Genomic DNA, 24434 nt, shown 5'->3' with positions numbered 1-24434 from the left:
CGCCTCTCCTAACCCTCGTCTCCAATGCAAGGCCTGAAATACTTAGAAAAAATAATAACTGTTTTTAAGGAAAAGTAACATCCCCGCTCCCTTCCGCCCCTCACCTTCACGAAAGCAATCGGGGTTGTGGTACCTTCGATATCTAACAGGATCACGGTGACTTCGGCGGGGACCGAAAGCACGACCATTTCCCTACCGGATGCTACGGGACTCGGCCTGCTGTTGGGGAGGGCGGAGGGCGGCGCCGGCTGCGGCTGCGGCCCCCGGTACCGTCTTGGGCTTCCGGCGGCCCCGCGCGATCTCGGAGCCAGCGACCAAGTGCAGCCCGCCGCGCGTGGGGAGAGGACACTTCTGCACACCTGGAACTGGAAAAGGCGGCCGCCCAGGAGCCCTGAACTCGTGAGCAGGACGGGGCAGGAGCCCGAGACCACGTGGGCAGGAAAAGGGGCGGCCCTTGACGGGTTCGGCGGGGCGGGGAGGGTGAAGGCGCCAGCGCCGATTGGCCGCCGTCAGGCCTCGAACTGGATCCGTCAAAATGGGCCTCGCGTGGGCGGGAACAAAGAAGCGAACGCGGGAGCAGGGTGCGCGAGAGCGCGCCCTCCGCAGACAGGTTGAGCGAGCGGGAGAGGCCCGGGGCACGTGCAGAAAGGAGCCCCGCGAGTGGCGCGCCGGGGATGTGAGTGCCCCTTGCCCTCTACTGAATCCAGCCCCCTCCCCGCCCACCGCCTCCGCCTTTGCATAGATACAGTCATCTGGCCAGCCCCCGCCCCTCCTCCCGGCGTCAGCCCGCCAGAGGCCGCGCGGGGCCCGGGCTTCGGCCGATCAGCCCGGGAGGCCCCGCCGCGCCCCCTTGGCCCGCGCGCCCGTGGTCACAGTGGAAGAGGCGCCCGCGCTGCGCTGCCCGGAGGAGCCGTCGCGCGCCCGCTTCCTGTTCGGCTGGTTCCTGCCAGCTCGAGGACAAAACACGCGTGCGCGCGGCGGGCGAGCGCGCTCGCCGCCTCAGTCGCCAGCGCCGGGCGCAGTCCGCCTTTTTCCGGAGCAGACTGGCCGCGGTGCTAGTCGGTAGCAGCGGCCGCCGCAGCGGCTCCGCACTGGCGAACCGAGGGCAGAAAAAGGCGGGGTTGACGGCTTTTTGGTAGGAGTGGGCTGGACCGGACGCCAGAGACAAAGGCTCCCAAGGCAAGAGGGACTGTGGCCCTGCGTCGGCTCTGCTCGGGACTGCTGACCCCAGGAATTTACGCCCCTTCGTTTTTCTCTTCTGATTCTTCTCTTCTCCCAAGCCCGCGTCCCCTCACGCGTGGCCTCTCTCCTTGCCGGGAGGGCCGCGATGGAGGTCCCGCCCAGGCTTTCCCATGTGCCGCCGCCATTGTTCCCCTCCGCTCCCGCTACTTTAGCCTCCCGCAGCCTCTCCCATTGGCGGCCGCGGCCGCCGCGGCAGCTAGCCCCGCTCCTCCCTTCGCTCGCTCCCAGCTCCGCCCGGCAGGGGGCGCGCCGGGCCCAGCGCCACGTCACCGCCCAGCAGCCCTCCCGATTGGCGGGCGGGGCGGCTATAAAGGGAGGGCGCAGGCGGCGCCCGGATCTCTTCCGCCGCCATTTTAAATCCAGCTCCATACAACGCTCCGCCGCCGCTGCTGCCGCGACCCGGACTGCGCGCCAGCACCCCCCTGCCGACAGCTCCGTCACTATGGAGGATATGAACGAGTACAGCAATATAGAGGAATTCGCAGAGGGATCCAAGATCAACGCGAGCAAGAATCAGCAGGATGACGGGTACCGCACGCTTCTTCCCCCGCTCCCCCTCCCCCAGCGCGCCGCACGCGCCCTTCGTTCCTCGTGAGCCGCGCGCTGCCCCCATTCTTTCTCAGAGTCGATTCCCCGCGTGCCTTCTGGGCCCCACTAGATTGGAGGGAAGAGGAAAGTAAGAGATCGAGGGGGTGACTGGAGAGACCCGGGAAGAGTGGGGGAAGGGCGGAGGGGTTGGAGGAGGAGGGCGGCGGCGTCTGTGTCCCGAGCGCGCAGGCGCCGCGTGGGACCCGGGGGGGAGGGGCCGGCCTCCCAGCGCTGCACGCTGCAGCTGCCGCCGCCTCTTCATTGTGTCTCTGTTACCACTCGGCGCGGTTTTCCTGGGAAGAGTTTTAGAGGACTGAGTTGGGGCACAAGCAGGCGACTGGTACCCAGATTCACAAAACGTGTTATGATTGATGAGTTCTCTGGGTGGAACGTTGGCTTGACAGCTGAGAACGAAGATGGACCTAAGTAAGATAAGATGTGAGGGATTCATCTAGGAAGTTGTGCCTTCTACCTAAAGGAATCTGGGCAGAACCTTTACTGTATTTTATTGGTCTCTTTTGAGCTTTGCTTTATGTAGTGCGGACAGTGAGCTGTCCGCTGGTTTGAGTAACTTCGTTGGGATATTGGGATTTTTGTGTGACATAGATTAAATGTAAACATGAATTAAATTGCCTACACTTAGGGGGTAAATGTCCCTGTTTTTATTTCACGATTTAATTCCAGAACTGAAGGATCATTTGAGTTATTGTTAATTTTTTTTAAAAACACTTTTATTTCTAGTAAAATGTTTATTGGAGGCTTGAGCTGGGATACAAGCAAAAAAGATCTGACAGAGTACTTGTCTCGATTTGGGGAAGTTGTAGACTGCACAATTAAAACAGATCCAGTCACTGGGAGATCAAGAGGATTTGGATTTGTGCTTTTCAAAGATGCTGCTAGTGTTGATAAGGTAGGAACTATGTTTTGCATTGTGCTGCTTTTGTGGTGTTTTGCAAATTTTTCTGGGGGTTATATGGTGCTGTCAGATTAAATAAATCTGTCTTGTAGGTTTTGGAACTGAAAGAACACAAACTGGATGGCAAATTGATAGATCCCAAAAGGGCCAAAGCTTTAAAAGGGAAAGAACCTCCCAAAAAGGTTTTTGTGGGTGGATTGAGCCCGGATACTTCTGAAGAACAAATTAAAGAATATTTTGGAGCCTTTGGAGAGGTGTGTGATTATGTTTACACATGTTAAGCTTGATGTGTTTATAAAATGTTCAATCCTTGTCCGATTTATGCAGGGCAGATTCATGTTTCCTGTAAGAGTAGAATTAAATGACTGCTCAAGTCGCTTCCAGTGACTGTACCTTGATTTCATTGCTGCTCTGATGGAAACCCAACTATCTAATTTAGCTAAAACATGGGCACTTAAATGTGGTCAGTGTTTGGACTTGTTAACTAGTGGCATCTTTGGGTACAAAATAATATTAATTTCTCTCAATGCTTCAAATATACAACAAATCACTGTAGGCTGATGTTGATCATAAAGCAGTGATGTCTGTATAGAAGTCACCCGATAAGAATAACATGTTTAAGTTGAAGCCTGAAAAGGCCTTTGGCATTCTGACACTGTAACGTTTTACAATTATGGGATGACGTTGAGTGTGCATCTCGATTTCAGATTGAAAATATTGAACTTCCCATGGATACAAAAACAAATGAAAGAAGAGGATTTTGTTTTATCACATATACTGATGAAGAGCCAGTAAAAAAATTGTTAGAAAGCAGATACCATCAAATTGGTTCTGGGAAGGTAAAGCCATTTAAGCACTTTAAATGAAAATTTAAATAATTGAAATAATTTCTTGATGTGGAGAAAAATAAAATGATTTAATTTTAGAACTTCGGTAAAAATTATACTTTCATGTTTTTTGTTTATAGTGTGAAATCAAAGTTGCACAACCCAAAGAGGTATATAGGCAGCAACAGCAACAACAAAAAGGTGGAAGAGGTGCTGCAGCTGGTGGACGAGGTGGTACGAGGGGTCGTGGCCGAGGTGAGACTTAATTCTTGAAATATGACTCCGTGGTTTATTTAAGCTGTATACTGCTGAATATGAGTAGTCCTGTACCAAAGCAAAACTTTAAACTTAAAACCATTCCAGCGGAGGGGGGACTGTTCAGCTTAGTGGAGGTTGTGTGTGGTGGTTTTTTGTTGTGAGCTCACTGGTTTCAAAAAACTGTTAAAAGTGTGGCCACTTTGACAATTAGTGTCATCACTGATAGGAAAAGTGTACCATTACATGATACACCGTGGTGTGATAGGTTTTCTTGGGCAGGAGTCCTTGTTTTAAACAGAACAGTGTACCTGTCTTCGGCTTTAATGGAAAATTGAATGATTTTCCATTAAGTTTAGGAAGTTTGATACTGGCACAATTGGACTTTCTGCCTCCTTTTTTATAACAGCTGGAAAAATAGTTTTTCAAGCAGATAGCAATATATATGTCCATTCTGCCCTTTAAGATTTGCAGAGTGAGAGACAAGAACGCATCATTTTATGTTAGAATTGGGGGTCAGAAGTTGTTTCCTAACAATCATTGTGCATTGTTTCAGGTCAGGGCCAAAACTGGAACCAAGGATTTAATAACTATTATGATCAAGGATATGGAAATTACAATAGTGCCTATGGTGGTGATCAAAACTATAGTGGCTATGGCGGATATGATTATACTGGGTATAACTATGGGAACTATGGATATGGACAGGGATATGCAGACTACAGTGGTAAGAATATTTAACTTAATTTTATAAAGCAGTGGTATTAAAATTCATTGTTAACATACAATCCTGTTCTGAAATTGTGTGTATGGGCTTTCCATTAAAGTGTTCGGAGTTAAGTGTTTGAGGCATGTTACAATCATAGGATGATTATACTAACATAGACTGGTGGTTATAAATGAACTAGGATGTATGATTTATGAGTAGCATCTAATGGGTGCTAAAATATCTTAATACTTTTTATTTAGCATGCAAAGATTTGTAGATTTAATAGTTTGTGTTTGTAAAGAAAGTTTTGTAGAAAACTATCTTAATGAGAATTCTGTGTTTTCAAAATAGGCCAACAGAGCACTTATGGCAAGGCATCTCGAGGGGGTGGCAATCACCAAAACAATTACCAGCCATACTAAAGGAGAACATTGGAGAAAACAGGTGTGTATAAGAGTACAGGAAAACAGTAGAAATGTCTAATTTAATTTAAAGATCAATAGACAAATGAAACGTAAAAACAAAATACTATGTAGCCTGTTTTTACTAAATTGTTGATTTTTTAATTGCTTTATGAGCCTGTTTTGCCTAAAGTGTCTATAGATCTTTAACTTTAAAGTCTTATCTCACTTTCTTTAGTATTGCAGAAAAACTTAAGAGTTTTTCTGTTTGCTTTTGTGTACCAGGTGGTCTAGAGGAATAATTAAACATTTTAGAACTATTAACAGGTAAAGTACTGAAATGGGTACAACTTAAGGAAAACAAGAATGTTGTCTTCTAACTCTGACATTATACCTTGTTTGTACCCGCCAGCGGGAACTTCATTGCAGGCCGTGTGTCACCCTGACCACGTCTATCTCTGGGGGTCGCACGTTGCGGGCAGAGCGCAAGGCATACACCAGAAAACGCTGTCCTGTGGTATGGTCTCTTCCAACTTCATGTACCAGCGTAAAGATTAAAGTGGAAAACTTCAGACTTTGGCTTCATTTTTAATCTTTTTGGAGATTAAGTGTCTAAACTTAACTTAAATGGTTTTTTACAGGAGTTAAAGTACATAAATGCCTTTTTACAGCTTAATCATTTTGGTCTTCTGTTTAGTGTTGTATTTCAATTGTGGAGCCTCATTTTAAGTGTTCATTCTTTTAAGATTTAATGCTTGCTTTTTCTTTTTATAGCTAATAGTGAAATCTACAAACCAAAACAAGAACTTTTAAATCTGGGATATAAATTAAAGATCATATGCACAGATCAATTTATGTTCTTGTAATAAACTTATTAGAAATTGGTGTTTGTGATAGCATTTTACTTGGGTTACTAGAGATGCTTCTAGTAGACCTTAATCTAGCATAGTTGAACCTCTGAATATGGGAAGGTTGTATTCCCAGATTCTTTCCTGAATAGATTTGAATTTAATGTCATTTGGGAACTCCAGGGTGAGTTTATTGACTACCCAAACTGTATTTTACCAATAAATATGCATATGATCTTTAATTATTGAAGAAAATAAAGTGAGGACTTAAAACAATTCATGAAAGTGGACCTTTAAAAGCTTGTCAGAGTTGCACAAATCTAACTGGTATTTTGTTTTTGTTTTTAGGAGGAGATGTTAAAGTAACCCATCTTGCAGGACGACATTGAAGATTGGTCTTCTGTTGATCTAAGATGATTATTTTGTAAAAGACTTTCTAGTGTACAAGACACCATTGTGTCCAACTGTATATAGCTGCCAATTAGTTTTCTTTGTTTTTACTTTGTCCTTTGCTATCTGTGTTATGACTCAATGTGGATTTGTTTATACACATTTTATTTGTATCATTTCATGTTAAACCTCAAATAAATGCTTCCTTATGTGATTGCTTTTCTGCGTCAGGTACTACATAGCTCTGTAAAAAATGTAATTTAAAATAAGCAATAATTAAGGCACAGTTGATTTTGTAGAGTATTGGTCCATACAGAGAAACTGTGGTCCTTTATAAATAGCCAGCCAGCGTCACCCTCTTCTCCAATTTGTAGGTGTATTTTATGCTCTTAAGGCTTCATCTTCTCCCTGTAACTGAGATTTCTACCACACCTTTGAACAATGTTCTTTCCCTTCTGGTTATCTGAAGACTGTCCTGAAAGGAAGACATAAGTGTTGTGATTAGTAGAAGCTTTCTAGTAGACCATATTTCTTCTGGATTGTAATAAAATTGTTAGTAGCTCCTTTTACTTTGTTCCTGTCTCTGGAAAGCCATTTTTGAATTGCTGATTACTTTGGCTTTAATCAGTGGTCACCTAGAAAAAGCTTTGTAATCATAACACAATGAGTAATTCTTGATAAAAGTTCAGATACAAAAGGAGCACTGTAAAACTGGTAGGAGCTATGGTTTAAGAGCATTGGAAGTAGTTACAACTCAAGGATTTTGGTAGAAAGGTATGAGTTTGGTCGAAAAATTAAAATAGTGGCAAAATAAGATTTAGTTGTGTTTTCTCAGAGCCGCCACAAGATTGAACAAAATGTTTTCTGTTTGGGCATCCTGAGGAAGTTGTATTAGCTGTTAATGCTCTGTGAGTTTAGAAAAAGTCTTGATAGTAAATCTAGTTTTTGACACAGTGCATGAACTAAGTAGTTAAATATTTACATATTCAGAAAGGAATAGTGGAAAAGGTATCTTGGTTATGACAAAGTCATTACAAATGTGACTAAGTCATTACAAATGTGACTGAGTCATTACAGTGGACCCTCTGGGTGCATTGAAAAGAATCCGTTTTATATCCAGGTTTCAGAGGACCTGGAATAATAAAAAGCTTTGGATTTTGCATTCAGTGTAGTTGGATTTTGGGACCTTGGCCTCAGTGTTATTTACTGGGATTGGCATACGTGTTCACAGGCAGAGTAGTTGATCTCACACAACGGGTGATCTCACAAAACTGGTAAGTTTCTTATGCTCATGAGCCCTCCCTTTTTTTTTTTAATTTGGTGCCTGCAACTTTCTTAACAATGATTCTACTTCCTGGGCTATCACATTATAATGCTCTTGGCCTCTTTTTTGCTGCTGTTTTGCTATTCTTAAACTTAGGCCAAGTACCAATGTTGGCTGTTAGAAGGGATTCTGTTCATTCAACATGCAACTTTAGGGAATGGAAGTAAGTTCATTTTTAAGTTGTGTTGTCAGTAGGTGCGGTGTCTAGGGTAGTGAATCCTGTAAGTTCAAATTTATGATTAGGTGACGAGTTGACATTGAGATTGTCCTTTTCCCTGATCAAAAAATGAATAAAGCCTTTTTAAACAAAATCCAAACTTTTAATCAAGTCTTGATATGTATGACTGAGAAAAAATACACTACATCTAGAGATGATTGAGATGTTTTGCAAAGAATTGAAGGGGGAGTGAGAATTGGTTTTTCTTGCAGGGGCTTTGAACTCTAGATTTGGGCTTTGAACTCTAGATTTAATTCAGATTTCAGGGTCTATCAGTTCACCAACTGATGCAAATTTGAACAGATACTCTAAGGCTAAGTGTCCTAGGTTGGATGAACTGAAGCTACTATCAAGATCTCGTTCCCAAGGATTAATTTAGAACAAAGTAATTGGACAAGTTTATTGGGGAGGGGATAGAAATGAATTCTAAAGTACCTATAACAAATACTCTGTGTATGTTTTTTACATCGTATTTGCCTTTTACATTGTTTAGACCAAATTCTGTGTGATGTTATCCTCGGGAAGAGGATAGAAATTAATTCTAAAGTACCTATAACAAATGCTCGGTTTGTATATGTTTTTATACATCGTATTTGCCTTTTGCATTGTTCAGACCAAATTCTGTGTGATGTTATCCTAACAAAACACCTTAGTAATTTCTTTGGTTAACATGTTAATCTGTAATCTCACTTTTATAAGATGAGGACTATTAAAATGAGATGTCTGTTGGGATGCTAGCGTGGATAAGCAGAGCTTATTCCATTACTCTTCAGTGGATCTTTATTTTCATAATGGCAGAGATCCTCACTAATCTTCACAAAACTTAATACAAGGGCATATCTGAACAATTAAGCTACTTTCCAGTACCAAGATTTGATTTAATGTCAATCAGGATGCTAGGCTGCGTGCTGTAGATCATGCCTGTAATCCCAAGCACTTTGGGAGGCCAAGGCAAGTACATTACTTGAGTCCAGCCTGGGCAACATGGCAAAACCCCGTCTCTACAAAAACTACGAAAATTAGCTCGATGTGATGGTGCACACCTGTAGTCCCAGCTACTTGGGCTGAGGCGGGACGATTGCTTGAACCAGGGAGGTGAAGTGTGCAGTGAGTCATGTTTGCGCCAGTGCACTCCACCCTGGGCGACAAAGTGAGACCCTGTCTCAAAAAATCACAGGATGCTAAACTTCACCAATTAAAAAGTTGACTAAGCTGGCCGCACGCAGTGGCTCATCCCTGTAATCCTAGTACTTTGGGAGGCCGAGGCAGGTGAATGGCTTGAGTCCAGGAGTTCAAGACCATCCTGGCCAATATGTCAAAACCCCAGCTCTACTAAAAATAGAAAAATTAGCCGGGCGTGGTGCTGTGCTTAGGTGAGAGGATTGCTGGAGCCCAGGAGGTAGAGGTTGTAGTGAGATTTGTGCTCCAGCCTGGGCAACAGAGTGAGAACTTGTCAAAAAAAAAAAAGTTGACTAAGGCCAGGTGTGTTGGCTGCAGTTGAGCTATGGTCGCTCCATTGCACTCTTATCTGGCCTAGGCAACAGAGTGAGACCCTGTCTTTAATTTTTTTAAAAGTTGATTCAAAAACATGTAAGTGTATGAATAATTTTTAGTTATAGATGTGTGTGTATACCATTTGAATTGATTCTTGAGTAGTTAGAAAGGGTCATTCATAGAAAACCCCCTTTCCTTAAACTTTCAGCGAAATAGAGTTGACATCTAATCTGTGGTTTCAACTTTAAGCAAAAACAATCTAAATTTATATATTTTTTATAGTCACTAGAAAATATTGTTTATAAATATATAGGCTGTTCTTTTAGGATTGGTTGGGGTCTTACATTTGTCTTGAAATAGATTAGATGTGGAATTTCAGCAAGATTTAGTTAATAGCAAAAAATAAAAATACACCTTAGACTTTACTACTTTTTATAAACGGTAGGAAAGGATATACTGATGTTGTGGGTATTACAAGGTAATGCTGAACATTCTGAAGACCTTAACTTCTGCTGCTCTTCCCTCCCCCTCCCCCCGCCCCAACAAGAATGAGGTTGGAATTGTGCTTTTTTTTTTTTTTTTCTTTCCTTCCCTGAGTCGGAGTTTCACTCTTGTTGCCCAGGCTGGAGTGCAGGCTGGAGTGAGTGGAGTGATCTGGGCTCACCGTAACCTCCTCCTCCCGGGTTCAAGCGATTCTCCTGACTCAGCCTCCCAAGTAGCTGGGATTACAGGCATCTGCCACCATGCCTGGCTAGAATTTTTGTATTTTTAGTAGAGACAGGGCTTCGCCATGTCGGTCAGGCTGCTCTCGAACTCCTGACCTCAGGTGATCCACCCGCCTCGACCTCCCAAAGTCCTGGGGTTACAAGCATGAGCCACCGTGCCCCGCGGGAATTGTGCTATTCTTAAGTGTCAGTTTAATCTCTGGTTTTACCCTTTAAAGACATGTACCACTTCAAAGAGACCACTCAAAGAGATATACCCATTCGGAGAGCTGTATCATAATCTTGGAGAGTAGTGAGACTAAAGTGTAGTTTGAAAAAGTATATTCAGCCAGACGCAGTGGCTGGCTCATGCCTGTAATCCCAGCACTTTGGGAGGCTGAGGCGCGCGGATCACGAGGTCAGGAGTTTTAGACCAACCTGGCCAATATGGTGAAACCCCATCTGTACCAAAAATACAAAAAAGCAGGGTGTGGTGGTGGGCGAGTGTAATCCCAGCTACTTGGGAGGCTGAGGCAGGAGAATGTTGTGAACCCGGGAGGCAGAGGTTGCAGTGAGCCAAGATAGCGCCACTGCACTCCAGCCTGGGCGACAGAGTGAGACTCCATCTCAAAAAAAGAAAAAAAAAAAAAAAGTATATTCAACATAATGTTGTCACTTAAAATCCAAATAACCAAAAAGGCTAATTTTGGTTTCTTAAAGACCAGCACAAGCTAGAAAATGTGAGAAACTTTACTTGCAGGCAAGTTTTTCTCATACTCTTCCAATGGTAATCTCCTTTTGGGAGTCTGACCAAAAGTGAATTCTCTTCAAACCCAAAAAAATGCATGTCTATAAATATTTTCAATGTAGTTTCAGGAAAATTAGAGACTTAGAAAACTGTTTTAAAATGCTCTTGAAGCTGTTGGCTTTTATGGTAACAAACTGACTAAAATTGATTGAATTTGTTGTAATTGATGAGGTTCCACAAAGGGAGTTTCTTCATATGTTCTCCACCTTCCACCTGGGTATTTGTATTGGCTGGTGAACACTCATAGGGGATTGTTTTATTGATGACAGGGTCTCACTCTGTCGCCCAGGCTGGAGTGCAGTGATGCCATCACGTCTCACTACAGCCTCAACCTCCTGGGCTCAACCAATCCTCCCACCTCAGCCTCCCATGTAGCTGGGGCCACAGGCATGTGCCATCATACCTAGCTAATTTTTTTTTTTTTTGATTTTTAGTAGAAATGAGGTCTTGCCATATCGCCCAAGTTAAACCTTTTTTTTTTTTTTTTTTTTTTGTTTTATCATCTTAGAGACAGGGACTCACTATGTTGCCCAGGCTGGTCTCGAACTCCTGGGCTCCAGTGATCCTACCGTTTAGGCCTCCCAAAGTGCTGGGATTACCAGCATGTGTCACCATGCCCAGCTTTAGCTTTAATCCCCTGATTTTAAAATGAGGAAGTCAGCTAATTGAATGCACCAATGCTGATTACATTCTGCAGTCTATTAAACTATAAAACTCCTATCAGGCATACTTGACTTTAAGCATTAAGACTGGTCAGTAATCTTTAATACACTTGGTTTCTGAGTGTTGAGCTCTATTGTAGCAAAGTAGGATTATATTACAATTGATCCATTCTTGTTCCTCTAATGGAATTTGAGCCTGGATAATCTGGAGCAACTACTCTTCCCATGAAAGACATGGCCTATGAAATTGACTCACTATTTAGATTGCCCTTGAACCATGAAACATCTGGGGCATATATGTTTTTCATAGACCCTGCAAGCAGAGGAATGACAGGAGGGTGGGAGCAGTGGGGGTTAAGTGGTATTATAGAATAATTTCAATATTTCATCACCAGGAAACCCTTTAAATTTCTTCTCTCCATAGACAATGTGTTTTGAATGGCTTTATTTGTCAAATATATTGCTCTCATTATGTAATAACATTTCTATTAATCAAAGATATATAGCTGTCAGAACTACAATGTGATAATTCGCATCATACCAAGTTAATTTAATGGCAGCCAAATCAAGAATATTTCTGTTAACTTGTGTACATTTTTTAATGATATGTAACGTCTAACAGGCTTTTAAAATATCAAAAACGCTGGCTGGGCATGGTGGCTCACACCTGTAATCCCAGCACTTTGGAAGGCCAAGGCGGGCAGACCATTTGAGGCCAGGAGTTCGAGACCAGCCTGGCCAATATGGTGAAACCCTGTCTCTACTAAAAATGCAAAAATTAGGTGTGATGGTGCATGCCTGTAATCCCTGCTACTCGGGAGGCTGAGGCAGGAGAATCGCATGAACCTGGGAGGCAGAGGTTGCAGTGAGCCAAGATCGTGCCACTGCACTCCAGCCCCTAGGCGACACAGCAAGACTCTGTCTCAAAAAAAAAAAAAAAAAAAAAAATAGAGTTTTAGAAGTGAGAGTAAGAGGCAACATTTCAAGAGGTAATGGCTTAAAATTTTCCAGAAGTGACAAATGAATCTACAAATATAATATACCCTACAAATTGCAATTGCAATTAGGAAAAATAAATAAAAATCTCCACGAAGATGCACTATGGTAAAACCAAAAAAATCAACAACAAACAAAAGCAGCCACATCTAGAACCAACTACCAGTAATCAGGAAAAGAAATAAAGGCACATGTTAAACTACCATGAAGATGCAACCATCCAAATCTAAAATGTGGAAAATTCATAAGAATATCCCATTTCTTCAACAAGTAAATGACATGAAAAGAAGTGGGAAATGTAGGTGGATCTAAGATTAAAAGAGACTTATGGTAAGCAACATTTATTATAGTAAGCAAGAATATAAAGTGCAAATTAATGATCAAAAAGACAAAGGATCCAGCCTGGGCAATAGAGCCAGACTTTGTCTCAAAAAAGAAGAAAAAAGAAAAAAGGATAAGTGTGGGCAACGAATGTGGAGAAAAGAGAACCCTTTCACACTGTGATAATATAAATTAGTACAGCCATTATGGAAAACAATATAGAGGCTCCTCAAAAAATTAAAAACAGGGCTACCATATGATCCAGCAATCCCATTATTGAGTATATATCCAAAGGAAATGAAATCAATATGTCAAACAAATATCTGCACTCTCATGTTTATTGCAACATTATTCCCAATAGTCAAGATATAGAATCAACCTAAGTGTCCATCATCAGAAGAATGGATAAAAAAAATATGGTAGGGCTAGGCGAGGTGGTTCACACCTGTAATCCCAGCACCTTGGGAAGCCAAGGGGAGTGGATCACCTGAGGTCAGGAGTTTGAGACCAGCCTGGCCAACATGGCGAAAACCCAAAATAGCCAGGTGTGGTGGTGTGCGCCTGTAGTCTCAGCAACTCGGGAGGCTGAGGCAGGAGAATCACTTGAAACCAGGAGGCGGAGGTTGCAGTGAGCCAAGATCGTGCCAGTGCACTCCAGCCTGGATGACGAGTGAAACTCAATCTCAAAAAAAAAAAAAAAAAAAAAAGATAAAAGCAAAATCTGTGACAACATCGATGAACCTAGAAGACATTATGTTAAGGGAAATACACCAGACACAGAAAGATGAATATCACATGTTCTCATTTACATGTAGAATCTAAAAAAGTTGATTTCACAGAAGTAGTTAATGGAACAGCAGTTACCAGAGACTGGGGAGGGTAGGGAGAAGGAGGGGATGGGAAGAGGATGGTCAACGGGTACAGAGTTACAATTAGGAAGAATAAATGCTGGTATCCTATTTTACAGTAGGGTGACTATAGTCAAAAATAAGGTATATCTCAAAATAGCTAGAAGAAAGGATTTTTATGTTCCCACCATAAAGAAATGATAAATGTTTGAGATGATGGATATGTTAATTACCTTGAATTGATCACTACACAATGTATACAGGTATTAATACATCATATTGTATCCAATAAATATGTACAATTATTGTGTGTCAATTAAAACTTTTTAAAAATTAAGTACATCATTTTTATTATGACATTGTACAGGTTTTATGGAATATAGAGAGTTATTTCCCATGTTTGAAGAATTCCCATCCTATGAGTCGTGATGTACCAAGAGTACCACCCAATATAGAAATTTAAAAATCACTTTCCCAGGCTCCCATATACCCAGAGCATAGACATGTTAACTCAGCTCTATCGATCAGAATTCTCTTGCATTGGACTTTGAGCCTGAAGGGTGAATCAAAAGAAGTAGGAATTTTGTGGAATCAATGCTGGGACAGGGGGCAGCCATGGTGGCAATGACTTTTCAGAAGGAGCAGTGGTTCTAGCAACAACATCCAGTATCTAGCACTGATAATGGTGAAAGGAGCAGCATCTGTGTGTAGCAAGAGCAGCAGCAGCAGCAGAAACAGGTGTCTTTATGAATCCAGTTCTTGTGTGATTTTGGAAATATTTCCTGCATGAGCGTTTCCAAGTGTGGCTTTCCAACCCCCCTGCAGAGCCTGAGATATCAAAATAGTCATTATTAAAATCACTCTTAGCTAAAACAAAGACAAACAAAAAACCCATGGGAAATAAGAATGGATATTTAACAAACATATTAACCAGAAGCACTTCCACAATAGCAGAGTAAGGACATCCAAAAATCTGCTCTGTCAAAGTGTGTCCAGAATTGGTTCCTTCCAGTGGGTTCTTGGTCTCGCTGACTTCAAGAATGAAGCCACGGACCCTCGTGGTGAGTGTTACAGTTCTTAAAGATGGTGTGTCCCTTCAGATGTTCAGATACGTCGAGTTTCTTCCTTCTGGTGGGTTCGTGGTCTCGCTTGACTTCAGGAGTGAAGCCGCAGACCTTCACAGCGAGTGTTACAGCTCTTAAAGGCGACGGGCATCCAGAGTTGTTTGTTCCTCCCCATGGGTTCATGGTCTCACTGACTTCAGGAATGCAGCTGCAGACCTTCGCAGTCAGTGTTACAAAGAGTGAGCAGCCGCAAGACTTATTGTGAAGAGCGAAAGAACAAAGCATCCACAGCATGGAAGGGTACCCCAGCGGGTTGCCCCTGCTAGCTGGGTGGCCAGCTTTTATTCCCTTGTTTGGCCCTGCCCATGTCCTGCTGATTGGTCCATTTTACAGAGTGCTGATTGGTCTATTTTACAGAGTGCTGATTGATCAGTTTTTACAGAGTGCTGATTGGTGCACTTACAAACCTTTGGCTAGACACAGAGAGCTGATTTGTGTGTTTACAATCCTTTAGCTAGACAGAAAAGTTCTCCAAGTCCCCACCGGACCCAGAAGCCCAGCTGGCTTCACCTCTCAAAAGCAATGAGGAGAAGTGGCAAAAATGGTCAAAATCAACATTTTCAGAACTCTGGATAATAGTCTTGCAACAATCCAAGGAGTACTTTTTTTCAAAGGCTTTATTTCAAGGCCAGGTGTGGTAGCTCATGCCTACAATCTCAGCATTTTGGGAGGCTGAGGCAGGAGGATCGCTTGAAGCCAGAAATTAAAGAGTATCCTGGGCAACATAGAGAGATCCTGTCTCTACAACAAATTAAAAAAAAAGAAAATTGGCCTGGCACGGTAGCTCACGCCTGTAATCCCAGCACTTTGGGAGGCTGAGGTGGGAGGAACACGAGGTAAGGAGATCCAGACCATCCTGGCTAACACGGTGAAACCCCGTCTCTACTAAAAATACAAAAAATTAGCTGGGCGTGGTGGCTCGGGCCTGTAGTCCCAGCTACTCGGGAGGATGAGGCAGGAGAATCGCTTGAACCTGGGAGGCAGAGGTTGCAGTGAGCCGAGATTGCGACACTGCACTCCAGCCTGGGTGACAGAGCGAGTCTCCGTCTAAAAAAAGAAAATTAGCTGGGCATGGTGGCACGTGCCTGTAGTACCAGCTACTCAAGAGGCTGAGGCAGGATCGCTTAAGACCAGAAGTTAGAGGCTGCAATGAGCAATGATCATGCCACTGCACTGCAGCCTGCCAGGACCACAGAATGAGACTATCCGCACCACCTGCCCTAAAAAAAAAAGGGGGTTTTATTTCAGTAAGAACAGGGAGCTTTGTGTATTCTCATCCTCCTCTCTCCAGCTCCATGGTAGCCTTGAAAACCAACATCTCTGCAACTACAGTGAATACAAAAACCAGATGCTTAGGAACCACTGGGACACAACGGATTTAGAGCACCCCACAAAAACCAATTCCTATAGAACTGCAACTATTTGACCTACCTAATAATTCACTGAAACAAGCTCTATACTCAAATTTGTCCTTATCTCACCTCAGAGCTCACTCAATGCAAAAAGCCATAGCCCTAGATTGAGTCTCAAAAACATTCGATGGCAATTGTTTAACATCACACGCATCTGAGGTGGCAATATGAGTTAGGGCTAATTAGAGACTGACAAATAAAACCAAGAAATAAAAACTGGGAAATAAATTATCCATTGAGGGCTTTAAAAATCTCCAACACATTCTTGAGACTCTAGAAGGCCATACTTACAGGCAGACCTGTGCACATGCCCAGGAAACAGCTGAGAAAGGGCTAATCTCTCACTGTTGCTTGACCTTGAGGGTCTACACAAGCAGGAAGAGAAGGCTAACTCAGAATTGCTACCAGCCTGCTGGAGCATCAAAGTCATTCCCCAATACACTCAGAGAGCCCCGCGACAAAGGCTTGTAGTCTTATTGCTTCAAAGCATTTAAGGAAAACACATTAAGTGAAATTGACAGAATTCAAGAACAACAGTTGTAAACAATGAAACTTCATTTTGAATAATGGATAGAACAACCAGGCAGAAAATCAACAAGGAAACAGAAGACTCAAACAACACTATAAAACAACCAGACCTAATAGACATCTATAAAACACTTCTCCCAACAATAGCAGAACACATATTCTTTTCAAATGGACATGGAATATTCTCCAGCATAAGCTGTATGACACATTATTTTTAAAAAAAGCCTGAATAAATTTAGAAAGATTGAAGTCATACAGAGTATTTTCTGTGACCACAATGAAATCAAATAAGGACTTAGCAAAAGGAAATTTGAGAAATTCACAAGTATGTGGAAATTAAACAACAAACTCCAAAATAGTCAATAAGTCAAAGAAAAAATACAGGGGAAACCGAGAAGTAATTTGAGATGGATAAAAACTAAAACAGCATATGAAACTATGGGATCCAGCTAAGTTAGTTCATGGAGGAAAATTTATAGGTGTAAGTGCCTATATTTAATTAAATTAATTAATTTATTTATTTGAAACAGAGTCTCGCTTTGTTGCCCAGGCTGGAGTGCAGTGGCACAATCTTGGCTCACTGCAACCTTCGCCTCCCAGGTTCAAGCGATTCTTCTGCCTCAGCCTCCCAAGTAGCTGAGATTACAGGAATGTTCCACTACGCCACTATGTGAGCTTGTTTTTGGTATTTTTTGTAGAGACTGGGTTTTGCCATGTTGCCCAGGCTGGTCTCAAACTCCTGGCCTCAAGCAATCCACCTCGGCCTCCCAAAGTGCTGGGATTACAGGTGTGAACCACTGTACCCGGCCTGACATCTTGCTTTTTAAATAAAATATTGGGACTGGGCATGGTGGCTCACACCTGTAATCCCAGCACTTTGGGAGGCCAAGGCGGGTAGATCACTTGAGGCCAGGAGTTTGAGACCAACCTGGGCGACATGGCAAAATCCGGTCTCTACAAAAAATACCAATAATTAGCAGGGCCTTGGTGGCCTGTGCCTATAGTCCCAGCTATTCAGGAGGCTGAGGTGGGAGGACCACTTTACCCTGGGAAGCAGAGGTTGCAGTGAGCCGAGATGGCACCACTGCACTCCAGCCTGGGCAACAGAGTGAGACCCTGTCTCAAAAAATAATAATAATAATAATAAAATAAAATAAAAAGTAAGATGTGAAATCAATAACTAATTTTCCACTTTAGGAAACTAGGAAAAGAAGAACAAATCAAACTCAAAGCCAGGAGGAGAAATGAACTAATAGGATTAAAGTGAAAATTAATGATATAGAGGATATAAAAACAATAGCGAAATCAACAAAACCAAAAATTGGTTTTTGAAAATCAACGAAATTGACAAACCAATAGTTATATTGGCCAATAACAAAAGAGAGAAGACTTAAATAACTAAAATCAGAAATAAGAGAGGAGACATCAATACAGACCTTACAGAAATAAAAAGGAATATAAGAAAGTACAATGAACAACTGTATAGCAACAAATTAGATAGCCCAAATGAAATGAGTAAATTCCTAGAAAGCAAAAACTATTCAAATTAACTCAAGAAGACATAGAAAATCTAAAGAACTCCAGTCTGGGTGATAGAGCAAGACCCTGTCTCAAAAAAATAAAGTAAAATAAAAACTAAAACAAAAAGAAAATCTGAATGGATATATAATAGGTAACGAGATTGAATTAATAATTTAAAAAGAAAAACTTTCCATGAAGCAAAGTCCAGGACTAGATGCTTCCAAGGTGAATTTTACCACAATGTTTAAAGAAGAATTAACACCAATTCTTCACAAATCCTTCTAAAAAACAAGCGAGAACTCTTTGCAATTCATTCTATGAGGCTAGTATTACTCTGATATTAAAGAATGACATAGACATAACAAGAAAAGAAAACTACAGACCAATATTTCTTATGAATACGTACACAAAAATTCTCAAAACAAACCCCAAGCCTGGGCATGGTGGCTTATGCCTATAATCCTAGCACTTTGGGAGGCTGAGGCGGGCGGATTGCTTGAGGTCAGCAGTTCGAGACCAGCCTGGCCAACATGATGAAACCCCCATCTCTACTAAATATACAAAAATTAGCCGGGCACGTTGGCGCATGCCTGTAATCCCAGCTACTCAGGGGGCTGAGACACGAGAATTGCTTGAACCCAGGAGGTGGAGGTTGCAGTGAGTCAAAATCGCCCACTGCACTCCAGCCTGGGTGACAGAGTGAGGCTCTGTCTCAACAAGAACAAAAACAAAAAACCCTAAAAGTTAGGAAACTGAATCCAGCAATATATAAAAAGGATTATACACGATGAACAGAAGGGATTTATCCCAGGAATGCAAAGTTTGTTTAACATCTGAAAATCAATATACCACACGTATTAATATAAAGAAAACCACATGCTAACCTTAACAGATACAGAAAAAGCACTTGACAAAATATAATACCCTTCCATGATAAAAACAAATACACACAACAAACTAGAAATAGAAGGTGTTATCAAGTAAACTGTGTTCCCCCTTCAAATTCATATGTTGGAACCCTAACCTCCAATGTGGTTGTATTTGGAGACAGGGTCTTTATGGAGGTAATGAAGATTAAATGAGGCCGGGCGCAGTGGCTCACGCCTGTAATTTCAGCAGTTTGAGAGGCTGAGGCGGGCAGATCACTTGACGTCAGGAGTTTGAGACCAGCCTGGCCAACATGGTGAAGCTTCGTCTCTACTAAAAATACAAAAATTAGGCCGGGCGCAGTGGCTCAAGCCTGTAATCTCAGCACTTTGGGAGGCCGAGGCGGGCGGATCACGAGGCCAGGAGATCGAGACCGTCCTGGCTAACACGGTTAAATCTGTCTCTACTAAAAATACAAAAAATTAGCCGGGCGCGGTGGCAGGTGCCTGTAGTCCCAGCTATTGGGGAGGCTGAGGCAGGAGAATGGCGTGAACCTGGGAGGCGGAGCTTGCAGTGAGCCGAGATCGCGCCACTGCACTCCAGCCTGGGCGACAGAGCGAGGCTCCGTCTCAAAAACAAACAAACAAACAAAAAAACAAAAATTATCCGGGCGTAGTGGTGCATGCCTGTAATCCCAGCTACTCACGAGGCTGAGGCAGGAGAATCGCTTCAACCCAGGAGGTGGAGGTTGCAGTGAGCCGAGATCGCGCCACTGTACTCCAGCCTGGGTGACAGAGCGGGACACTGTCTCAAAAAAAGAAAAGAAAAGAAAGGTTAAATGAGTTCATATGGGTGGGGCCCTAATCTAAGGGGACTACTCCCATTATAAGAAAAGGAAGAGACATCAGATCTCCCCCACTTCACCAACACAAACGCAGAGAAAAGGCCATACGAGGACACAGTGAGAATGCAGCCATCTATAAGCCAGGAAGAGGCCTCAACAGAACCCAATCCTGCTGGCACCTTGATCTTTGGATTTTAGTCTCCAGAACTATGAGAAATAAATGTCTGTTGTTTAGGCCACCTAATTTGTGGTATTTTCTTATGGTAGCCTGAGCGGACTAATGCAGAAGGAATTTCCACAACCTGATAAAGACTATCTAAAAAAAAAAAACCCCACAACTGGCTGGGTGCAGTGGCTCCTGCCTGTAATCTCAGCACTTTGGGAGGCCAAAGTGGGAGGATTGGTTGAGCCCAGGAGTCTAATACCAGCCTGGGCAACATGGGGAGACCTCATCTCTACTAAAAAATAAAAATAAAAATTGCAGGGCAAGGTGGCCACGAACCTGTAGTCCCAGCTACTTTGCAGGCTAAGATGGGAGGATCACTTGAGCCCAGGAGGTCGAGGCTGTAGTGAGCTGTGATCGTGGCACTGCACTCCAGCCTGAGCAAGAGAGCAAGATCCTGTCTCAAAAAAAAAAAAAAAAAAAAAAAAAAAAAAAAAAAGAAAGAAAGAAAGAACAAAAGAAAGAAAGAAAAGAAAAAGCAACAGTAAAGCTGATTTTTTACTCTTTTGACTTCTGAATAGAAACCGTGAAAAACAGTTAACAGTGGAATGATGTGCTGAATGTGTTGAGGGTAACTACAACTGAGAATTGCCAATCAGTCAAAATTCTTTTAAGGTTGGAGGTGACTCCAGGTGCAATGGCTCATGCCTGTAATTCCAGCACTTTGGAAGGTTGAGAGGGGAGGATTGCTTGAGCTCAGGAGCTCGAGACCAGCCTGGGGAACATAGCAAGATCCTGTTTTAACAAAATGTTAAAAAATTAGCTGAGTGTAGTGTGCGCCTATGGTCCCAGCTACTCAGGAGGCTGAGGTGGGAGGATCACTTGAGCCCAGGAGGTCAAGGCTGCAGTGAGCTATGATGGTGCCACTGCACTGCAGCCTAGGAGACAGAGCGAGACCCTGTCTCTAAAAAAAAAAAAAAAAAAAATTGGGGTGATAAAAGACATCTTCTAATCTTCTGCAAGAAAAAAATTAACACATAATCACCAGAAAGCTGTCACCAAAGGAAATTCTAAAGCTAATTCTAATTGTAGAAGATAAGTGATCCCCCAGGGGTACATAAAGGAATGAAAGGGAAAGAAGGTGGTATAAATGTGGGAAAATGTAAATGACATTGATTACTGTAAAAAACTAAATGTTCATAGAGGAGTATATATTTTTGTATACATGCCACCAGTTTTATAACATCATGGATAAAATTTAGTTTTCAGAGTTTTATTGTTATGAAGACTATAAACCTCACTGTACAATATTCCTTATTCCTTTGGATTGCGGTAATTGTTGGTTGTACATTTCCCAAAGTAGTATAATTTATCACTATTGCCATATTGCTCTCCAAAAACACTGAATAATCTACGGAGCTACTTACAAAATTTTTGTATTAATTAATTTGATTTTGTTATATTTGCCAACATTGGTCTTAACTTTTTTTTTTTTTTTAGCTTAAGAGAGATGTAATGGTAACTTAAAGTTCCTTTAGTTTTCTTTCTTTTGAGAGGGAGTCTTGCTCTGTCGCCCAGACTGGAGTGCAATGGCGCAATCTTGGCTCACTGCAACCTCTGCCTCCCGGGTTCAAGCGATTCTCCTGCCTCAGCCTCCCGAATTGGTAGGATTACAGGCACCTGCCACCAGGCCTGGCTAATTTTTCTAGTTTTAGTAGAGGCGGGGTTTCACCATGTTGGCCAGGATGGTCTTGATCTCTTGACCTCATGAGCCACCCGCCTCGGCCTCCCAAAGTGCTGGGATTACAGGTGTGAGCCAATGTGCCTGGCCTAGTTTTCTTTCTTTACCTTTTAATATGACTGAACTAATTAGTAGTTCCCAAAAACGCAAAAAAAAAAAAATTTGGATTATTTGCCTTATAAGTTTGTCATTGAAGCAGGGTATTTTGACTGTCAATGTGACCATTCAGAATATTTAATATACCACGATTTCTTCTTTGTAATCGTCACAGTGTGGACAGTTATTTATACAGAAACTAAGTGTGTGGGAAAATTAGATTAGTAATATATTAGAGCATCTACTACAATGGATGAAGCTGAATGATGAAAAAGGAATTACTCATTATTTCTCATGGATTTTCTAAGAAAAAATGCAAATTATTGGCCAGGCACGCGGTGGCTTACACACTTTGGGAGGCCGAGGCAGGCGGATTGCCTGAACTCAGGGGTTCGAGACCAGCCTGGGCAACATGGTGAAACCCCGTCTCTACTAAAATACAAAAAATTAGCCGGGCGTGGTGGCGGGCACCTGTAGTCCCAGCTACTCCGGAGGCTGAGGCAGGAGAATGGCTTCAACCTGGGAGGCAGAAGTTGCAGTGAGCAGAGATCATGCCATTGCACTCCACCCTGGGCAACAGAGCAAGTTTCTAAAAATAACATCTCTTTTTAAAATTTTTATTTATTTTCTTTTCTGGTTCATGTTCTCTCATGAACATCTTTTCTCACTGCAGCCTGAACCTCCTGGCTCAAGTGATCCTTCTGCCTTGGGCTCGCAAAGTGCTGGGATTATAGGCGTGAGCCACCTCACCCAGCCATAAATTTTCTTTTTATTTCTCTGAAATTATTTAATCAGAATCAGTTTTTTTGTAATTTATCTATTTATTTTATTTTATTTCGAGATGGAGTTTCACTCTTTTTGCCCAGGCTGGAGTGCACTCGGCTCACTGCAACCTCCGCCTCCCGGGTTCAAGCGATTCTCCTCCCTCGCCTCCCGAGTAGCTGCTAATACAGACGCCTGCCACCACGCCCGGCTAATTTTTTTGTATTTTTAGTGGAGACGGGGTTTCACCATGTTTGGCCAGGTTGGTCTCGAACTCCTGGCCTCAGATGATCCACCCGCCTCGGCCTCCCAAAGTGCTGGGATTACAGGCGTGAGCCACCACGCCCGGCCCTATCTATTTTTTTAACAGGCTCTCGCTCTGTTTCTCAGGCTACAGTGCGGTGGTACATTCACGACTCATTGCAGCTGCAAACTCCTGGGCTCAAGCAATCCTCCTGCCTCAGCCTCTGCCCGCCTCAGTGTGTGGTGTGTGCCTGTAGTCTCAGCTACTCTGGAGGCTAAGGCAGGAGGATAGCTTCAGCCCACGAGGTCGAGCTGCAGTGAGCCATGACCACATCAATGGACTTCAGCCTGGGCAACAAAGCAATACCTTGTCTCAAAAAAAAATTTTTAGGCCGGGCGCGGTGGCTCACGCCTGTAATCCCAGCACTTAGGGAGGCAGAGGCGGGCAGATCACGAGGTCAGCAGATCGAAACCATCCTGGCTAACACAGTGAAACCCCGTCTCTACTAAATATACAAAAAATTAGCCGGGCGAGGCGGCAGGCGCCTGTTGTCCCAGCTACTCAAGAGGCTGAGGCAGGAGAATTGCGTGAACCTGGGAGGCGGAGCTTGCAGTGAGCCGAGATCGCGCCACTGCACTCCAGCCTGGGCAACAGAGGGAGACTCTACCTCAAAAAAAAAAAAGAAAAAGAAAAAGAAAAAGAAATACCCTATTAAATATACATGAAAGATTTTAAGTTGTATCCTGATTTCAGAAATATTAATATATGAAAAAGATCATTTTAGGAAAAATAACATACCATATGTCTCTGGTTCTTTTTTTTTTTTTTTTGAGACGGAGTCGCTCTGTCGCCCAGGCTGGAGGGCAGTGGCGCCATCTTGGCTCACTGCAAGCTCTGCCTCCCGAGTTCACGCCATTCTCCTGCCTCAGCCTCCCGAGTAGCTGGGACTACAGGCGCCCGCCATCACGCCCAGCTAATTTTTTTTCTACTTTTAGTAGAGACGGGGTTTTCACCGTGTTGGCCAGGATGGTCTCGATCTCCTGACCTCGTGATCCGCTCACCTTGGCCTCCCAAAGTGCTGGGATTACAGGAGTGAGCCACCGCTCGCGGCCTTGTCTCTGGTTCTTTTTTTTTTTTTTTGTGGTGGAGTCTCCCTCTGTTGCCCAGGCTGGAGTGCAGTGGTGCGATCTCGGCTCACTGCAAGCTCCGCCTCCCGGGTTCACGCCATTCTCCTGCCTCAGCCTCCTGAGTAGCTGGGACTACAGGCGCCCGACACCACACCCGGCTAATTTTTTGTATTTTTAGTAGAGACGGGGTTTCACCGTGTTAGCCAGGATGGTCTCGATCTCCTGACCTCGTGATCCGCCTGCCTCGGCCTCCCAAAGTGCTGGAATTACAGGCGTGAGCCACCACACCCGGCTGTCTCTGGTTCTTAAAGATTATCCTTAGACTCCTGCTCCCCTCGTGCAAGCTGCAATCATTTCTGCCCCTATTTGTTAGGATCCTGACCGCCAATGAGTCGACAGTCTCCTCCTCCAGACTTTTCTTTACATTTCAAAACTCAGGGTAGTATATTTTGGGG

The 24434-nt window shown here is 43.2% G+C and overlaps 2 protein-coding genes across 6 annotated transcripts in view, besides 12 other annotated features; one reads left to right on the top strand and one right to left on the bottom strand.

Annotated features, from left to right (window-relative positions):
- Positions 1 to 428, bottom strand: part of ENOPH1 (enolase-phosphatase 1) — a 30588-nt gene extending 30160 nt beyond the window's left edge. For 2 of the 3 annotated variants that reach the window (NR_120457.2, NM_001292017.2), the window contains exon 1: positions 134 to 428. Coding sequence is in view for 1 of the 3 variants with exons in the window: in NM_021204.5 (NP_067027.1) it covers positions 105 to 188 (84 nt within the window). In the remaining 2 variants the exon portion in view is untranslated. Of the gene's footprint in view, positions 1 to 104 lie in introns of all 3 variants that reach the window. The other variant, NM_021204.5, reaches the window with a different exon arrangement.
- Positions 178 to 497: a silencer, noted in NCBI's record as "silent region_15532". NCBI's record gives its function as "represses an Ori minimal core promoter by ATAC-STARR-seq in GM12878 lymphoblastoid cells {active_cell/tissue: GM12878}" and the evidence as "EXISTENCE:reporter gene assay evidence [ECO:0000049][PMID:35858748]".
- Positions 178 to 1096: a biological region, named in NCBI's record as "NANOG-H3K27ac-H3K4me1 hESC enhancer GRCh37_chr4:83351075-83351870".
- Positions 301 to 1096: an enhancer, noted in NCBI's record as "NANOG-H3K27ac-H3K4me1 hESC enhancer chr4:83351075-83351870 (GRCh37/hg19 assembly coordinates)". NCBI's record gives its function as "activates a minimal SCP1, AML or CMV promoter by ChIP-STARR-seq in primed H9 embryonic stem cells {active_cell/tissue: H9 hESC(primed)}" and the evidence as "EXISTENCE:reporter gene assay evidence [ECO:0000049][PMID:30033119]".
- HNRNPDL (heterogeneous nuclear ribonucleoprotein D like) lies at positions 556 to 8454 on the top strand. 3 transcript variants are annotated; one of them, NR_003249.2, is made up of 9 exons: positions 793 to 1770; positions 2572 to 2740; positions 2839 to 3000; positions 3454 to 3585; positions 3714 to 3828; positions 4385 to 4555; positions 4889 to 4981; positions 5351 to 5455; positions 6135 to 8454. NR_003249.2 is itself a non-coding variant. In NM_031372.4 (8 exons), exons 1-7 carry the CDS (start codon positions 1328 to 1330, stop codon positions 4957 to 4959), a joined length of 1263 nt encoding a protein of 420 aa, NP_112740.1. In that variant the 5' UTR covers positions 556 to 1327; the 3' UTR covers positions 4960 to 4981; positions 6135 to 8449. The 3 variants fall into 3 exon arrangements, 2 of the variants coding, with proteins under 2 accessions (NP_112740.1, NP_001193929.1); NM_031372.4 differs by lacking the exon at positions 5351 to 5455 and having other exon boundaries at positions 556 to 1770; positions 6135 to 8449; NM_001207000.1 differs by lacking the exons at positions 4385 to 4555; positions 5351 to 5455.
- Positions 618 to 1017: a silencer, noted in NCBI's record as "silent region_15531". NCBI's record gives its function as "represses an Ori minimal core promoter by ATAC-STARR-seq in GM12878 lymphoblastoid cells {active_cell/tissue: GM12878}" and the evidence as "EXISTENCE:reporter gene assay evidence [ECO:0000049][PMID:35858748]".
- Positions 1097 to 1892: an enhancer, noted in NCBI's record as "NANOG-H3K27ac-H3K4me1 hESC enhancer chr4:83350279-83351074 (GRCh37/hg19 assembly coordinates)". NCBI's record gives its function as "activates a minimal SCP1, AML or CMV promoter by ChIP-STARR-seq in naive and primed H9 embryonic stem cells {active_cell/tissue: H9 hESC(naive and primed)}" and the evidence as "EXISTENCE:reporter gene assay evidence [ECO:0000049][PMID:30033119]".
- Positions 1248 to 1337: an enhancer, noted in NCBI's record as "active region_21663". NCBI's record gives its function as "activates an Ori minimal core promoter by ATAC-STARR-seq in GM12878 lymphoblastoid cells {active_cell/tissue: GM12878}" and the evidence as "EXISTENCE:reporter gene assay evidence [ECO:0000049][PMID:35858748]".
- Positions 1388 to 1627: a silencer, noted in NCBI's record as "silent region_15530". NCBI's record gives its function as "represses an Ori minimal core promoter by ATAC-STARR-seq in GM12878 lymphoblastoid cells {active_cell/tissue: GM12878}" and the evidence as "EXISTENCE:reporter gene assay evidence [ECO:0000049][PMID:35858748]".
- Positions 1658 to 1717: an enhancer, noted in NCBI's record as "active region_21662". NCBI's record gives its function as "activates an Ori minimal core promoter by ATAC-STARR-seq in GM12878 lymphoblastoid cells {active_cell/tissue: GM12878}" and the evidence as "EXISTENCE:reporter gene assay evidence [ECO:0000049][PMID:35858748]".
- Positions 1938 to 2107: a silencer, noted in NCBI's record as "silent region_15529". NCBI's record gives its function as "represses an Ori minimal core promoter by ATAC-STARR-seq in GM12878 lymphoblastoid cells {active_cell/tissue: GM12878}" and the evidence as "EXISTENCE:reporter gene assay evidence [ECO:0000049][PMID:35858748]".
- Positions 8850 to 8939: an enhancer, noted in NCBI's record as "active region_21661". NCBI's record gives its function as "activates an Ori minimal core promoter by ATAC-STARR-seq in GM12878 lymphoblastoid cells {active_cell/tissue: GM12878}" and the evidence as "EXISTENCE:reporter gene assay evidence [ECO:0000049][PMID:35858748]".
- Positions 14556 to 15088: an enhancer, noted in NCBI's record as "NANOG hESC enhancer chr4:83337083-83337615 (GRCh37/hg19 assembly coordinates)". NCBI's record gives its function as "activates a minimal SCP1, AML or CMV promoter by ChIP-STARR-seq in naive H9 embryonic stem cells {active_cell/tissue: H9 hESC(naive)}" and the evidence as "EXISTENCE:reporter gene assay evidence [ECO:0000049][PMID:30033119]".
- Positions 19002 to 19956: an enhancer, noted in NCBI's record as "H3K4me1 hESC enhancer chr4:83332215-83333169 (GRCh37/hg19 assembly coordinates)". NCBI's record gives its function as "activates a minimal SCP1, AML or CMV promoter by ChIP-STARR-seq in naive H9 embryonic stem cells {active_cell/tissue: H9 hESC(naive)}" and the evidence as "EXISTENCE:reporter gene assay evidence [ECO:0000049][PMID:30033119]".

Source organism: Homo sapiens, chromosome 4 (genome assembly GCF_000001405.40).
Source record: "Homo sapiens chromosome 4, GRCh38.p14 Primary Assembly".
Classification (NCBI taxonomy): domain Eukaryota; kingdom Metazoa; phylum Chordata; class Mammalia; order Primates; family Hominidae; genus Homo; species Homo sapiens.
This window is presented reverse-complemented; position numbering and strand designations above follow the sequence as displayed.

Excerpts from the sequence above, each read along its gene's own strand:
- HNRNPDL (NM_031372.4), top strand. The coding sequence starts at position 1,328 with ATGGAGGTCCCGCCCAGGCTTTCCCATGTGCCGCCGCCATTGTTCCCC. Across the intron at positions 3,001-3,453 it reads ATTTTGGAGCCTTTGGAGAG|ATTGAAAATATTGAACTTCC; the intron begins GTGTGTGATTAT and ends TCTCGATTTCAG. Across the intron at positions 4,556-4,888 it reads GGGATATGCAGACTACAGTG|GCCAACAGAGCACTTATGGC; the intron begins GTAAGAATATTT and ends TTTTCAAAATAG.